Source organism: Homo sapiens, chromosome 12 (assembly GCF_000001405.40).
Source record: "Homo sapiens chromosome 12, GRCh38.p14 Primary Assembly".
Lineage (NCBI taxonomy): Eukaryota > Metazoa > Chordata > Mammalia > Primates > Hominidae > Homo > Homo sapiens.
In genome coordinates, this window is record NC_000012.12 from 96,558,831 (window position 1) to 96,576,002 (window position 17,172).

The following is a 17,172-nucleotide window of genomic DNA, read 5'->3' on the forward strand; positions in this document are numbered from 1 at the left end:
GAGCAATACCCCTTAAGAACAGGCAACCAGAGCAAAATGGACAAATAGGATCATATCAAGTTAAAAAGCTTCTGCCCAGCAAAGGATACAATCAGCGAAGTAAGGCTGGGCACTGTGGCTCATGCTGGTAATCCCAGCACTCTGGGAGTCAGAGGTGGGTGGATCACTTGAGGTCAGGAGTTTGAGATCAGCCTGGCCAACATGGTGAAACCCAGTCTCTACTAAAAATACAAAAATCAGCTGAGCGTGGTGGTGCATGCCTGTAATCCCAGCTACTTGGGAGGCTGAGGCAGGAGAATAGCTTGAACCTGGGAGGCGGAGATTGCAGTGAGCCAGGATCACTCCACTGCACTCCAGCCTGGGTGACAGGGCGAGGCTCCATCTCAAAAAAAAATTTAATTATACATTTAAAAATAACTAGAAGAGTATACTTGAATTGTTTGTAATACAAAGGATAAATGCTTGAGGGGATGGATACCCCATTTTCCATGATGTGATTATTATGCATTGCATATCTGTATTAAAACATCTCATGTACCCCATAAATATATACACCTACTATGTACCCATAAAAGTTAAAAATTAAAAAGTTAACTGTGGTAAACTGTTCCCTCCAACTTTTTATTTAACAATTTTTGAGCCTTCAGAAAGTTGAAAGAATAGTGTAGTGACTATCCACATAACCTTCACCTAAATCCACCAATCATGACCATTTTGCCACGTTTACTGTCTTTCTCTTTACATGCACATATAAATATGTATATTTATACATCTATGTATAAACATCTGTAGATGTATATACCTATTATATCAATATCATATTATGTATGTGTAGAGATATATACATATACATGGACATATCCATAGGCTGAGAAGTTGCAGACATTATGATATATTTTACCCCTGAAAACTGTAGCATTTGTCAGCTAATAATGAGGACATTCTCTCAAATAACCATAATACCATTATCACTCTGAAGAAAGGTAACACTGATATAATAATATTATTGATTATATAGTCAATTATTTTTTAGCATCCAATTGATCATTTATTTACTTTTATGTAATGTGATTTTGGTGTCCCGTCTAAGAACTCCTTACCTAACCCCAGATCATGAAGATTTTCTTATGTTTTCTTCTAAATGTTTTATAGTTTTACATTTTTAATTGGTATATAATAATTGTACATATTTATGGGGTACATGCAATATTTTAACACGTGCATACAATGTACAAAACTCAACCCAGGGTAATTAGGATATTCATCATCTCAAACATTTATCAGTTATTTGTGTTGAGAACATCTCAAATCTTCTAGCTATTTTGAAATGTATAATAAATTATTGTTAACTATAGCCACCCTATTGTCCTGTTGAACACTGGAACTTTTTTCTTCTATCTAACAATATGTTTGTACTCATTAACCAATCTCTGGTTATCCCCCTACCCCCAATCCCTTCCCAGCCTCTGTTAACCATCATTCGACTCTCTACCTCCATGAGGTAAACTATTTTTTTTAGCTCTCACATATGTCTGAGAACATGCTCTATTATGCATCTAATTTTCAAATTGCCATAATTGTTCCCAAATATCCTTTTTGGGGAAAATGGATTTTATTTAAAATGATCTAAGAAGTAATCAAAAATCACTTACTGCATTTGGCTGTCATATTCTTCTTCAATCTAGAATAACTCCTCCAACTTCTTTTTTTCTTTCATAACATTGATATTTTTGAAGACATGTTCCACAATCTGATCTTTCCTAGTAGTTTCCTCATAATCATGCAGGTGATGCTGTTTATATTCCATTGTATCACATTAGATTGCATGCATCGGCTATTTGTTTTATTATTGGTGAGGCAAAGTGCAATCGTTTTATTAAGCTGATGTCTGCCAGATCTCTGCATTGTAAATGTCCCTCTCCCCTTTGTAGTGAAAAAGTAATTGGTGCTGTTGGTGATGTAGGAATGAATATCCTGTTCCCCAACAGACTTTCACCCAATGGTCTTACTCCCTCCATTGGTGATCCTTCCTGAATTAATTATTACAGTGGTTGTACGTGATGATTTTCTAATTGAATTATTCCTTCTAGATTTATTTGGTAACATTCTTTTGTAAACAAGAGCTGTCCCTGCTTTGCCTCTTTTAATTTTTTGAGTAACACTATGGATCAGATTCCTTTTTTACTAATCTTTTAAAGTCACTTGCCATCATTGTTCTTTGTGATGCTCAAAGTCATAAATTTTGCCAGTGGGAGGGAGGCCCTTCACACTGGATCCTGTGTTCCTTTGATATGTCCCTGATTTGGTTTGGCTGTTTCCCCACCCAAATCTCATCTTGGATTCCCACATGTTGTGGGAGCAACCCGGTTGGAGGTAATTGCATAATGGGGGCAAGTCTTTCCCATGCCGTTCTCATGATAGTGAGTAAGTCTCACAAGATCTGATGGTTTTATAAGAGGAGTTCCCCTCCACAAGTTCTCTCTCTGCCTACTGCCATCCATGTGAGATGTGACTTGTTCCTCTTTGCCTTCTGCCATGATTGTGAGGCTTCATTAGCCACATGGAACTGTAAGTCCATTAAACCCCTTTTTCTATATAAATTGCTCAGTCTCAGGTATGTCTTTATCAGCAGCATGAAAACAGACTAATACAGCCCCCATTATTCTTTGAGATTTTTTTTGCTTTCTGTGCAACAAAATATTCTTGACCTATCTTTTGCTTTCTCTACCCCCAGATCTGGAATAAGCTATTTTTCCAATGATATTTGGTACCTTTTGCTAGGAAATGGTATTTAGAAACCAAGATCTGTAAGCTAAGAGTGCTCATTGCTATTGAGATGTCAATGGCTCCTTTTAGTAGATAGAGCTAAGAAATACACACACACACACACACACACACACACACACACACACACACATGTATATATATTTAAATCACAAGTTCTTTTTTTTTTTTTTTTTTTGAGATGGAGTCTTACTCTGTCACCCAGGCTGGAGTGGTGCGATCACCCAGTGGTGCGATCTCAGCTCACTGCAACCTCGGCCTCCTGGGTTCAAGCAATTCTCCTGTCTTAGTTTCCCAAGTAGCTGGGACTACAGGCATGTGCCAACATGCCCGGCTAATTTTTGTACTCTTAGTGGAAATGGGGTTTCACCATGTTGGCCAGGCTGGTTTTGAACTCCTGACCTCAAGTGATCTGCCTGCCTCGGCCTCCCAAAGTGCTGGGATTACAGGTGTGAGCCACTGCGCCTGACCACAAGTTCTTTTTGATATCTCCAATTCTAACACTAAAAGGTTTCTCCTCACCTTCTCCATTTTTGTATTTTCCTTCTCCCATATTGAGCATTCTGGTTCGTAACAACATCAATGTAATTACTCATTTGTTTTATCCTGGCAAATTAACAAATTACTTTCAAAATTATTAAACCAATACCACTATTAAAAACCTACTAAGTAAATTAAGGATTTCTTTGCAGTTCATTTTGTCTCTAGAAAATGTCATACATCAGAGAACTGTGTCCAAATTTACTTGAATTCTATTTTTAATTTTTTTTTCAATTTGATACATACTTGTGACCCTTTTTTTGTATTTGCATTCTTTTTTTTTTTTTTTTTTAAGACAGTCTCCCTCTGTCACCTAGGCTGGAGTGCAGTGACGTTATCTCAGCTCACTGGAACCTCTGCCTCCGAGGTTCAAGTGATTCTCCTGCCTCAGCCTCTCAAGTAGCTGGGACTACAGGCATGTGCCACCACACCTGGCTAATTTTTGTATTTTTTTTAGTAGAGATGGGGTTTTGCCATGTTGGCCAGGCTGGTCTCGGAACTCCTGACCTCAAACGATCTGCCCACCTTGGCTTCCCAAAGTGCTGGGATTACAGGTGTGAGCCACTATGCCCTGCCTGTATTCTGTTTATATAAAATTTCCTTTTTTCCCCATCCTTTTATTTTTTTATACTCTTCATCTTTTTACATTTTATTTTAAACATTTACATAGTTTCAAAAACTACTTCTCCTATGACCTGCTGGGTGTAGAGGGAAGCAAGTAATAATTAAAATATCTCTGTGTCATCATGTATAAATTGAAAATTTGATAAAGTTTTTTCTAATACATAAATGAATTACTTAGCATAATAATCTTGAACATGTTTTGGGCTGAAAATATTTGGTTTAGAAATATGTTTCAAAATGTAAATAGAATTTTTGTGTCAGGTTTTAAGAAACTAGCCCATGATTCTCACATAGTAACTGTATTATTTCCTTTAGTGGAGGATTAGAGTTTTTTTTTAAACTCATGGAGTTCCTAATACCTCGTTCTCTAATTGTCATCCATAAATCTTTGAAGACCAAATGAGTTTTGATCATAGACCACTTAAAGATATTGATGCAAGACTTGAGTTCAGATGTAAATGGAATTAGTTATTATTTCCTTGCAATATCTCTGGGTTTCCTTGAATTTTTTCTTGGCTTTATTGAATTGCCATCCTAGCACAGCTGATCACTTTGTTCCCCTACCTTGTCTTTCTTTAGCATGCTGTTGCCAGACTGATGTTCCCTACATTAGCATTCTTATTCAATAATGGTTGCCTGTTGATGTCCATGACATAAATATGATGCATCTGTATTTGGCATTCAGAATTTTTTTGCAGTCTCATCCTTCTTATCTCCAACGATTATAATCAGGAAAGCTTAATTAGCATTTATAATATCCTTGGTATTGAGAGAATGATGCACTATTTTCTGCTCTGCATTGCTATCTCCATGCAGATGTTTCCTTACCCTTTGCCACTGCAGATGCCTTCTATTCTTCAATGGTGTATGTTAACATCTTTTCACGAATCAATTACTATCACATGGTGGCTCATGTGCATTAGCACAAATAATTAAAACTCAGTAAAAGGGGTTTATTGTAAGGTTACTATAGCTACCCTCGCATATCTCCAAGGACCAAAATACTACCAGGTCTCTTAAGCACCAGACCTGAAAATCAAGAATCAGTGCTACAGTTTCCATCTCCCTGGGCTAGTATAGTTGTATATAGTTGTATCCTTTTTTCCCCTCATCCACATTCCTGTCTTTACTGAACCACCATGATGGTCAGTCCCAATTGTATACCAGTATCAACAACTGGCAAGTTCATGTTTTAGTTCAAAATCTTGAGACAGGCTCTGATTTCATCAGCCACAGCTGGAAGATAGTGGAGGTCTTCGTGTGTTACCCAGAGCTCTTAAAGGGACCTTGGATGAAACAGTTTTTCTAGAAGGGGTGTTGAGGACAGAGTTTGACAGCTTATTGGTATTGGTATCAGGACTTGCCATCTGTACTTCTGTGAAAAGGTAAAGTCAACAGAAGTAGGTTGGATTCTATCAATCCTCAGGATGACTTTATTCAAGATGAGATAGAAAATCAAATATTTTTATAATTTGGAATTTCTTCTGTCCTGAGGTATACTGTGGCAAATAAAAGAGGATTTGATAAAACTGCATTATAGTAGATTTATATGAATTTTTATCTATTAATGAAAAAAATGACATGACAGAGGAAGCAGTAGCTTTATGAATAGTTACTCCTTAGTATTTAAAAAATATTTCCTCTCTTGGATACATACTTAATTGTTATGACAGTCGTCTTCTTCTTCAGTTTTGCAGACTCCAACTGTTAGCAAAGATATTTCTACCAAGGGTCCGGAAAAGTTAAAACAATCTGGAAGCACTGATTGTTTTACAGGTAATTAAAATTGGGATAACTGGTATTTCCAAAAAATTTGGAAGATAGTTTTTAATCTCACCTTTTTGGTAAAATGTTTGTTTTTATAGAATTAAATATAATGAATAAAATAAAGAAGAATACATTATCCAAAGCAATTTACTTAATGCAGAAAGCTCTTTTAATATTCGAGAAAGATGCAACTTCTACATCTTCATGGGAACTTTTGATGGTAACAGTATTTCATTTCTTCTTTTAATCCTGACATAAAATTTCTGTTAAAATGAATGATTCATTTCCTTTATTAAAAATAATGTGTTGCCCTTAACATTTAATTATGAACTTTCAGATTCACTATATATAATTCATCCTGACCAGGGGAACTAATTCGTACCTCCAGTTCTGAATTCTGAAATGAGAGATTCTCTTTTTATCAGAACTTCATGCAATCTACATGAGAAGACAAATAAAATCAGAAGGACTCAAAATGAGGGAAATTATAGAATTGGAGTGACACTTTACCAGCTTAATGTATTCTTTACAATGGAATTAAAATTCTTAAAGTCCATTGGCTGAGGTACCTTCTCTCTTAGATAGATACTGCTAATTTATGGACCAATCCCCTTGTTGATATTTTTAATCGGGTCTCACTCTGGCCTGGAAATTCTTCTGCCTTCTTGCTAATTCATTATATGTTGATTTTATGTGTTTATTTTTTGAGACAGGGTCTCACTCTGTCAACTAGGCTGGAATGCAGTGGCGCAGTCCTAGATCACTGCAGCTTTGAACTCCTGGGTTTAAATGGTCCTACCACCTCAGCCTTCCAGTGGGTGGGACTACAGACATGCCACCATGCCAGAATATTAAAAAAAATTTTTTTTGGTAGAGTCAGACCCTTAGTATGCTGGCATTGGCTGAGTGAATGATGTATGAAGATGTACAGAATAATGCTATGTCTTGGCTGATAAGAGAAGGAAAAAAGTAGGTCAAAGCTAGGAGGGGGATATGGAGCTAAAGGGGTTTAATGAGAAAATTTAGCATAATAGTATGCTAAAAATGAAGTGCCAGAACAAAGAGAAATTGAAGATAATAAGAGGGAAAGGTTAATACACAGAGCCAAGGCCTATAGAGGATGATTTTGAAAGCACAGATAAAGGGATTCATCTTCAATGATGGGTGGGCTGCAGGGCAGACACCTCATCTTTTGATACAGAAGGGAAGGAGGAACAGACAGATGTAGATAAGAAAAGTTTGTTGGTGTGAAGGCAGGGAGTTGAGTTGATGCCTTTTGATATGCTTTGACTGTGTCCCTACCCAAATCTCATCTTAAATTGTAGTTCCCATAATCCCTATGTGTTGTGGGAGGGACGAGGTGGAGATAATTGAATCACGGGGGAGGTTTCCTCCATCCTGTTCTCATGAAAGTGAGTTAGTTCTCGCAAGATCTGATAGTTTAATAAAAGGCTTGCCCCTTCACTGGGCACTCATTCTCTCTCCTGCTGACATGTGAAGAGGATGTGTTTGCTTCCTCTTCTGCCATGATTGTAACTTTCCCAAGGCCTACCCAGCCATGCAAAACTGTGAGCCTCTTTTAAATCTCTTTTCTTTATAAATTACCCAGTCTCGGGTATGTCTTTATTAGCAGTGTGAGAACAAACTAATACACCTTCTTACCTCTGTCGGATGCAGTGGGAGGCAAGGATATCTGCCATCAATGGAGCATGAGGGTGGAAAATTGAACTGGGAAAGTAAAGATAATGTGGAGAGTGGGGAGGAATGGATGAGGGAGTTGACTCCAAGTAAAGGGACTGGCCAGCATCACTAAGTTCTAGCTGAAGTTGGAGACCAAGAATTTTTAGACATCTTGATCCGTATGGTGGTATGACATTATCCTGATGTGGTGTTCTTAATGACAGCAGAATATTTGTGACAGCAGACATTTGTGGAGGATTAGATTTTTTTTAAAAAAAATGAAGGTATGAGTTAAAAGTTTATGGCTTTAAAAACGTGGATACAGATTGAGTAGGGAGGGAAGGCATGAAGGCATTTAAAGACTTGGTGTCTATGGAAATATCAAGAGACTGGACATCTTTATGAGGTCAGGTCAAGGACCAGAAAATGAGGGTCTGAGGGAGCTAGAAGGATAGGTGTTTGAGGTTAGAAAGTAGAATACTGAAATTCAAGATTCCTGGTATGTAGCACTTACTTGTTATCTGTCAATCTATTCATCCATCTAACAAATAATTTTGATCCATTTCGCAATTATGTATTGGAAGTTCACTATGTGCCTGGTAGTATGCTGAGTATAGAAGGGGGGAATCTTTTATTTATTCAACAAATATTGATTGATTTACCTTCTTTTTGTGGTTCTGCCTTTGTGGTCCCTGGATTTATTCATATAAAAATCCAGTCTGTGGAAACATAGACAAGTAAATATATGCTTTAATTGCAAGAGGGCTAGGGAAAATTAACAGGGGAGTACCTAACTCAATAGTGGGGAATGTTTAAGGAAACATCCAGGAGAAATCACGTGAAGTTGAGTGCTGAAAGACAGATGGCTTGAATTTGAATACTGAAAGAGCCAGAGAAACAGGAGCGCAAACAGTAGAAAGGACATTCCAGGCAGAGAGAACAAATGTGCCAAGGTCCCAAGGCGAGAAATGTCATAGAGTGCTTGTAGTTCTACAGGTCATTCTGTGAGACAGAAGCTTAGATGCAATAAGGGTAGGAGTCGGGTGGGGGAGAGGATAGTAGCACGGGAGACCAGAGAGGAAGTAAAGATGTGTTCATAAGAAGTATTTTTCGCCAAGCTAAGAATTTTGGATGGACAGATGCTATCAATGTTCAAGGTGAGGAAGTCTGTCCTGGGAGTATTAGGGAAGAGCCTGGTTAAATTTGAATTTCCAGAATTTGAATGAGGAAGTTGGATGGTGGTGTTGGGTGGTCTGAGATCACAAGGCCAAGTGGTGTCTGGTCTTTGCTGGAAGACTTCGGGGTTGTGTTCAGATCCATTTTCTCAGCTGATGCTTCCATGGCTGTTTGCTATTGTCTAGTGCTTGGAGGACATTGGTACTTCAGTCCTATTTTTATGGCAAATAAACCTTATCTTTATTTTAGAAATATTGGTCTTACTACTAATCTTGGGTCTTCTTAGAGCCTGAAGAGAGGTTTCCTCTTGTTTTATGATGACTGAATCTGGTCTTTGTACTGCCATAGTGTGCTGGTTCCCCTGTATGTGTCTGCCTCCCGCCACTGAGACCAGGGAACATACCGGGACTGAGATACCTGGATGTCTCAAGTTTCCAGTGTGGGCAGGAACATCTTCTTTGGCCACCTCTGCTCCTCAGTGGTAGTTTTTATCCAAGTGTTAAGGCTTAATGATCAATCCCTAGGGTACTCTCTTAAACAATGATGTTATGGCTCAAACATTTGGACCAGAACAAATGAAGAAGCTCAGGGGTACTGGAAGTTCTAAGGAATTTTGGCTTTAATATTTCCCAAACTTATGTCTTGATGTCTCCTAAATACCAGTCTATTAACTGTGTTAGCAGTAATTGGATTTAATTATTTTTCCTATTTTGTAGCATTTCAAGTCAAATCAGTTCTATTTGCTTTTTTTTTTTTTTAGGGAGGGAAGAATATACACGGACGATTTTCTTTTTTCAGAGATCTTCTCAGCTCTTTTTTTGTTTTCTTTTTTAAAAAATGTAAAATTTACAAAATTTCTTCTATTTTTTAAAAAATGAAACTATTTTAATTCCAGAAAAAATTATGAGTATAATGTCCTATTAGGATAGACTCTTGAGATGCATTAAGAGGCTCTATTTTTTATGAGGAGCCCTCTAAAGAATTTTCACCAACGAGGAACATGTCGAATATTTATTTAGAAGTCCTGAAATCTTCTATAGCCATGTCTGCTCCTCAGTGGTGGTTTTTATCTAAATGTTAAGGCTTAATGATCAGTCCTCAGGGTACTCTCCTAAACAATGATGTTATGGCTCAAATAATTGCCAAACTTTCTTTCTTTTTTAAAGAAGACAAATACATTTATTTCCCTTGGCAATCATTCTCAACTGGGGTACGTAACAGAATGTTTTACAATATCATGATCTTGTAACAAAATTATCCCCAAATCAGTAATTGATGTGTCACCTGATATCATAAAAAGGTTTGAAAAGCCTGAGTCTCTTTAGAACTCTTAAATAATTCATATCCTGTCTCTGTTTTTCAGAAATTTTCTGACTCTGTGGATCTGGATAATCTCATCAGGTGTCTGTTTTATTTCTAATCAATTAAGATGGACCAATTTATTCCCACAAATGAGGGACAAACCTTTGATAATAACTCATTAGCTTCCAAGTGAGATGACTGGCTTTTTTTTTTTTAATTATGGGGATTCATTTTTCCATTTTCTTGTCTTGGTTATTTGACCTCTGGAAGTCCATTTTGGCTGTTTATATATTATTCCATAGGATTATATTAAAGGATTGCACCTAGGATCCATACTGGATGTCCTTCATCTTCTACTTCTGGTCAAATATAGTATCATTATGTGGCTTATGTCATTGCTCTTAGTCCACTAACAGAACATTCAGTGTCTTTGTAGATGTAATTTCTCATAGAAAGAGGCAGAAATGCTCCTCCATCCAAGTGTTGGCGGTTTTGAGGATGCTGTTGTTTTCTGTACAGCATCCATTTCCCCTTCCAAACTCATCTTTTGAGAATTTCTTTTTCCGTATCAGATGTAATCAGGTGGGACTGGTCCTCAAGAGGAAAACTAATGATGCCACCTGGGCCAGTTGACTGCTCCTTCCAGTCTTGAGTAGAGGGATACAAAGACTAAAAGACCTTAGTTTTGTACACCCTAATGTAGAAAATTATTGCTTAGGAAAATAAGTTTGTCTTCTCTAAGGAAATGTTGGCAATTCATTCATCCTCATAACTGTATTCTGATTACACCATTATAACTGTGTTTCGTAGACCCTCCTTCCTCTCTGGGGCTACTTTTGTCCAAGCCAGGTTTTCCAGTTGTTTCTCTTGCAAAGAAACCCAGTTGTTTCATCTGGTTTTCTTCTAGTACTATTTGTAGGAACCTAAACAAATCTGTAGTTGAGATCATTTCAACAATTCCAAATTCCACTCTAAGCAAAGGAGCATTATGATTTAGCAGGTTATTGTTTATAATCAACACAGAATCTAATTTATGGTACCATTTTGGACCAGAACTAACGAAGAAATTCAGGGGTATTAGCAGTTCTAATAACCTCTGGCTTTAATACTTCCTGAATTTATTTCTTGATATCCCCTAAATACCAGTCTATTAACTATATTAGCAGTAGTTGGATTTAATTGTTTTTCCTATTTTGTAGCATTTCAAGTCAAATCAATTCTATCTGATTTTTTTTTAGGGGGGAAGAATATACATAGGCCTTTAAAAATTTATTTTTATTTTTATTTATTTATGAGACAGGGTCTTGCTCTGTCAGCCTGGCTGCAGTGCAGTGGTGTGTATGGCTCACTGCAGCCTCGACCTCCTGGGTTCAGCCATTCTCCTACCTCAGCCTCCTGAGTAGCTAGAACCACAGGCCCATGCTACCATGCCTGGCTGTTTGTATTTTTTTGTAAAGATGCGGTTTTGTCATGTTGCCCAGCATGGTCTCGAAATCCTGGGTTCAAGGGGTCCGCTTTCCTCAGTCTCCCAAAGTGCTGGGACTACAGGCATGAGCCACTGTGCCCAGCCTCAGCTCTTTGTAATTGTGTGCTCAAGTCTTTTTTTCTTTTCTTTTTTTTTTTTTTTAAATCAATGAGCCAACTTCTAATTCTGACCCCTCCTCTTATGAGGCCATGTTTTGACTCCCAGGCTTCAAACTGCTAACAGAATATTTAGCATATCTACATTTTGGATTTTTTTTCTCTTTTAAGTGATTTAAGGGTATTGCATAGGAAACTTAATCCAGGTTGCCTTTCCAAACTTCTTTTAACTTAGTTTATTAAGACAAGATAGCATAGTGGTTAGGAGTATAAGGATCTTGGATTAGAGTTCTGGTTCTACCAGTGATTAGCTGTATGACCTGTCAAGTTATTTATGCTCTCTTAAGATTCAATTTCTTCATCTGTGAAACAGGGATTCTTGGGAAGATTCAAGTAATGATGCATATAAAATGCTTAGTGTTCAGAACAGAGTAAGCAGTCAATAAATGTTAGCCATTATTATTATGATTACTCTGCTTTTCATTCAGTTTTGTCATATCAGAACTATTATTATTTCTCTTTCACTTTAAGCACTCTGAGACATTCTGTTTGAACTACTTTTTGGTGCTTTATATGTATTTTCCTCCATCAGACTACACATTTCTTTCTGTATTTTCTCTTAGATTTATCTTATTACTTGTATATTTTATTCTAAGCAATATTCCTTCTCAGGATTCTTGGATATGACTTAATCTACTTTTCATCTTTTTCTGCAATGTACATTATAATGTTGAGAACCCAGAATATACCTCAGGGAGGTCTACCAGATATGTAGGAAATATGGTACTTTATCATTCCAGTCCTGTGATAGTTGATTACATATGTCTTAGTCACACCCTCAAGATTCCATTGCATCTTTCCATTAGTGTTTTGCTGCACTGTGGGCATCAAGCCTGTGTCAAATGTATTTAACATCAATCTGTCCTCATAAGCATTGAGTAACTTCTGAAGAGAGGCAGGTTTCATTTTCTCTAAGGGAAACTATACGCAGAGAAATTTACATTCAGACAAAAATACTTTGGACTTCAATACTGTGGTTTTGGTGGCACATTGCAGTGGAAACCACCATTGAAAGAACACCTTAGAGCTTATTTTTATTGTGAGTTGGTGGGCAAGTCCCTTTCCATCGAGATTTCTTGGCTGAGTCCCCGTGATAGGTAAAGGCTTATTTCTTTTTTCAAAGTTACTGAACCTTTCTAATTTGCTAGGCACTGTGGTAGGTAGTATAAGATGTGAGGATATAGTTATTTTTCATTATTGATACGTCATGGAAAGTCTACTTCTTGACCTGTGATTAGAGAATGGTTTATCTAGGTTTTGCAATTGTAATAGGTTGGTGTTCTAGAGCACTGCTATTATAGACAACATTCAGGTCCATATTGATAACACTTTCTCATGACTAAGTAGTATTGGTTTCATGGGAATTTTTCCTTCTTGATTTTTTTTGGGGGATTTTCTGATGTTACTTCCCTTTTTTCTAGTTGAAGAACCCCTTTAAAAAGCCCCAGGCACTTTCTCATAAACAAAATCTTATTAGCAGCTCAATGAATTGGCTGCCTTAAATTAGGATTCTAGTTTTTAACTAGCCTTAGGGTTTGCCCTGAATTCTGTTATGGAATTTATCTGATTTACCTAAATCAAGGGCTTTGTTATAAACTTTTCTTTTGTCACCATTCACTTAAAACTTTAATACTTCTGTTAACCTATTTCAAATTGGGCCATGGGATCTGAGTTAGGGGTCTAAAGTTAAAATTGATCAAGAGCCAATCAGAACATTTTAAATATGCCATCTTAAAAGACACTGTAATAAAGATTACCCTTTTCTTTCATAATTTTGTGTGTCTTATATTCCAAACACATTGACTGAACTTAAAGAGATAAACAAAGCACTGTCCTTCCTGCCAAGACCAGTGTTTAGAGGGTGTGGACAGGCAAGTACAGAGGTAACATATTATGTAATACCTGCTAAAATAAAGATACTATGTAATGAAGGAAATGGCTTATTTAAATACATGGGCTATCTTGGAAGATGTCAGAGGAGGTGACATTTGTGTGGATCTTAAAGCAGAGAAGAGGACGTGAGATGCTCCAGAAAGAATGAAATGCGTGGGCAATTCTGAGGCGTGAAATAACAGCATTTTAGGGAATGAGTGATTTTTTTTTTTTATGGTTTCAGAGGTTAGGTTGAACAGAGAGGTAGGTATGAGAGAGAGAAAGAGTAGAAAGGGGGATAAGGCTAGAAAATGTAGTCATGATCAGAATGAAAAGGGCTTTGGAAAAGTTTGCACTTTATCTGGCAAGTATTAGAGGAGGCATTGAAGGACTAGAAGACTGGAGGTTGAAGAGACTAGAAAGAGACTGGGAGAAAGGCAGGAGGGAAAAGGAGATTTACTCACCTGAATCTGTGGTTCCCAGTTCTTGCTGTACTTTGGAATTATCCTTGGTGTTTGTAAATAATACAGATGTTCAAGCTCCACTCCTGGAGATTTCTATTTTGGGGTAGAAATGGAGCCTTCTGATTTTTAAATAAACTCCATAGATGATACTGATCAACAGCCCAGTTGAGAAATGTCTATGTTATAGCCATGGCAGAACACAGAAAGTTTTTTTTACCTCAGTTGGATTCATTGATGTGCAGAAAGAAGATGCAAGAATTAAGTCAGAAGGTGCTAGTGTTCAATTGGTTCACTGAATCAGGAACTACCAAGGCAAATTTTGAGATCAAATTTGGAGCCCAGAGAGGCTGGCTGGTCAGTGGAGATGGAGGTCAAAGGCAGTCTGCTTGACTATAAGGGCCAGTGGGCCAGTGCTGCTGGTATATTTTACAGGCTCCAGACATAATCCCGAGGAAGGATATGTCTCCAAATTTCCAAGGGAAGTGGGGGCATTGGTCTCCTTTCCTTGTTTTGCATAATTTTTCCTTAGGCTGATTTTGTCTGTTCTTATGTAACCTGAAATATCTTGGTCTCTACAGCCTGTGATGCGAATGAAGATACATTAATGTTTAATGTTCAAAATATAATAGCGTTTTATCTCCTTTTTGTTCAGGTAGGACTTTCTTCCCTCAAAGTTTTTCCACAGCTACCTGGGGAAATCCACTTATCTTTTCTGTCTCTGGCCTCTTCCTCATCAAGCCTCTCACCTTTTGTTACCCTTCAAGGGAGTCCTGTTCTGTGGTACATTCGTCCCCTCAGGGAGCCAAAGCTGCTCTGTTGTCTATGGAAGAGGGTGAAGAGGGAATGAGCCTCTGCCCAGCCCTGTGCTGATTGTGTGCTCTGGGCCTCACTGGCTCTTTTACGGCCTTTTATGACATTGCTCCCTCACCATCTAGCCCTGACCCTTTTGTCCATCCATTTGTTATAATTTTTAAAAATTAGTTTGGTTGAATGAGTGAAAAAGTGGAGGCAATGGAGGAAACAGATGTCATCTTATCTCCTTGATTCATTCATTCAGTGATTCAAACAGTTACACTGATACCTCATATGTGTATATAAATTAGCTTTTAGGTCTAAATACGGAAGGACTGGTATGCAGGCTCTAGAAACATGGTTACCATGTAACACTTCCCTTCCCATACGAAGGAATGGTTGTCTTTGCAGATGCCTAAGATTCTTGACCTGCATATGCAGAAACATTTCTCAAGGCCTCCTGGCACTGAACAAGTGGAATTAAAAAACTATTCATCATCGTGGATACATTTTAATCACGATTAATGATTTTAGACCTTAATGTCAACCATTTCCAATAAAAAAGAAAAATGAGAAGTTAATTCTGATCTCAATTTCGACCAGGCTTCATTATTTTAGAAAAAATATATGATGTTATAGTTTTATAATCTCTGCTCCTACAGGGAGCTGGTTTCCTCACTCAGCTTTAAATATGACTCCAACGCGTACTCAGATCCTATCTCCAGTTTTTTACCTTCCCTTTTGAGCTTGAGGCTCAGGTTTCCAAATGGAAACTTCAACCTCAACATGTCTTCTGTAGGAGAAACAGCACAGGTTTTTTTCTGTCAGAATGAAATACATTTGAAATTTGGTAGACAGACATATTGTCTTTTCATTTCCAGGATCTCTTCTCTTATGTTTGTTGAATTAACTAGAACTTCCAGAATAAAATGGAATAGTGGCATTCTTTCTGGCTTTTATTGATAATTCTATTAGTGCTTCACTCTTAGCACTAAGAGTCCTATTTTGTGCTAGTAATATTTTGGTTATTGGCTAAAATTAATATTTTTAAATAATGCTAAAAAGAGCTTTTCTAATTTATTGACTTAAAAAAATCTGTAATGAATGTTAAAAAATGTTTGAAATGTCTTTTTGGCCATTGAGCACTATGATCATGTTTTTTCTCATTTAATTTATGGATATATTAAATTATATTTATATACTTCCTAATGTTAAACTGTCCTTGCATTCCTGGGAAAAAGACAGTATTATTACAGTTCATTATTTTGTTAGTATATTGTTAGAGTGAATGTATTAGTATTTTATGTATTTTATTTAAGGTGTCTGCATTTGTATTTGTGAAATGACTGGTCTGTGTTTTTATGTGTAGTTGTTTTTCAGACGGTTATCAAAGTTAAAATAGTTTTATAACATTATTTGAGAGGATATCTGTTTCTCTCTGTATTTGGAAACATTTAAAATGGCATAGGAATGATCAGTTCTTTGAGATTTAAAATATTTTGTTTATGAACTCATTTGAGCCTGACACTTTTATATGAAACAATTTTTGGGTAACATTTCTAGTTTCTTTGAACATTATTATTTCTGTGTTTAGGTTCCTGCTTTTTGAGTCAGTTTGCTGATTTTGTATTTTCATCCCTAATGACTAATGACGTTGAACATCTTTTCATGTGCTTATTGGCTATTTGTGTCTTTTCTGGAGAAATGTGTATTCACATTCTTTGCCCATATTTAAAAGGAGTTATTTTCCTTTTTATTATTGAGTTATAAAAATTCTCAGTTATAACAGTGTATATAAGTGCTGAATACAAGTCTTTTATCAGATACATGATTTGAAAACATTTTCTCCCATTCTGTAGGCTGTCTTTTCACTTTCTTAATGGTATCCTTTGAAACACAAATGCTTTTGATTTTGATGAAGTCCACCTTATCTACTTTTTCCTTTGTCAGTGTGCTTTCGGTGTTCCAGAACACTTTAAGTGAAAGCGTAATAATAATAATAGTTCTGATATGGCAAAACAGAATGTTCCAGAGTGCTTAAAATGAAAGAAAGAGGAGGAGGAGTAGTAATCACAATCATAATCATAATCAATGTCTAACATTTATTGACTGCTTACTCTGTTCCAAACACTAAGCATTTTAAATGCATCATTGCATTGAATCTTCCAAACACCATTGTGTAACTCAAGGTCACAAAGATTTGGTCATATATTTTCTTCTAAGGGTTTTATAATCTTAGCTCTTACATCTGAATGCATATTTCATTTTAAGTTAATATTTGCCTATGGTGTGAAGTAGGAGTTGAACTTTATTCTTTTGCATGTAATGTCCAATTGTCCTAGCACCATTTGTAGAAAAGACTATTCTTTCTTTATCAACACTTTAATTTTAATCTTTACATGGGTTTTTACTTAGAGCTCAGTTAGAGAGTCTTTGCCTTTTAATTTAAAAGGAATTGTAACCCATTTACATGCATTATTATTATTGCTTATGTATTTAGCCCTACTTTTGAAATGTTATTTAGGTCTGA

At 36.7% G+C, this 17,172-nt stretch overlaps 1 protein-coding gene across 2 annotated transcripts in view; it reads left to right on the forward strand.

Annotated features, from left to right (window-relative positions):
* Nucleotides 1-17,172, forward strand: part of CFAP54 (cilia and flagella associated protein 54) — a 385,979-nt gene that overhangs the window by 69,254 nt on the left and 299,553 nt on the right. For both annotated transcript variants that reach the window (NM_001367885.1, NM_001306084.2), the window contains exons 18-19: nucleotides 5,638-5,724; nucleotides 5,814-5,935. In NM_001367885.1, the coding sequence (NP_001354814.1) occupies nucleotides 5,638-5,724; nucleotides 5,814-5,935 (209 nt within the window). The remainder of the gene's footprint in view (nucleotides 1-5,637; nucleotides 5,725-5,813; nucleotides 5,936-17,172) is intronic.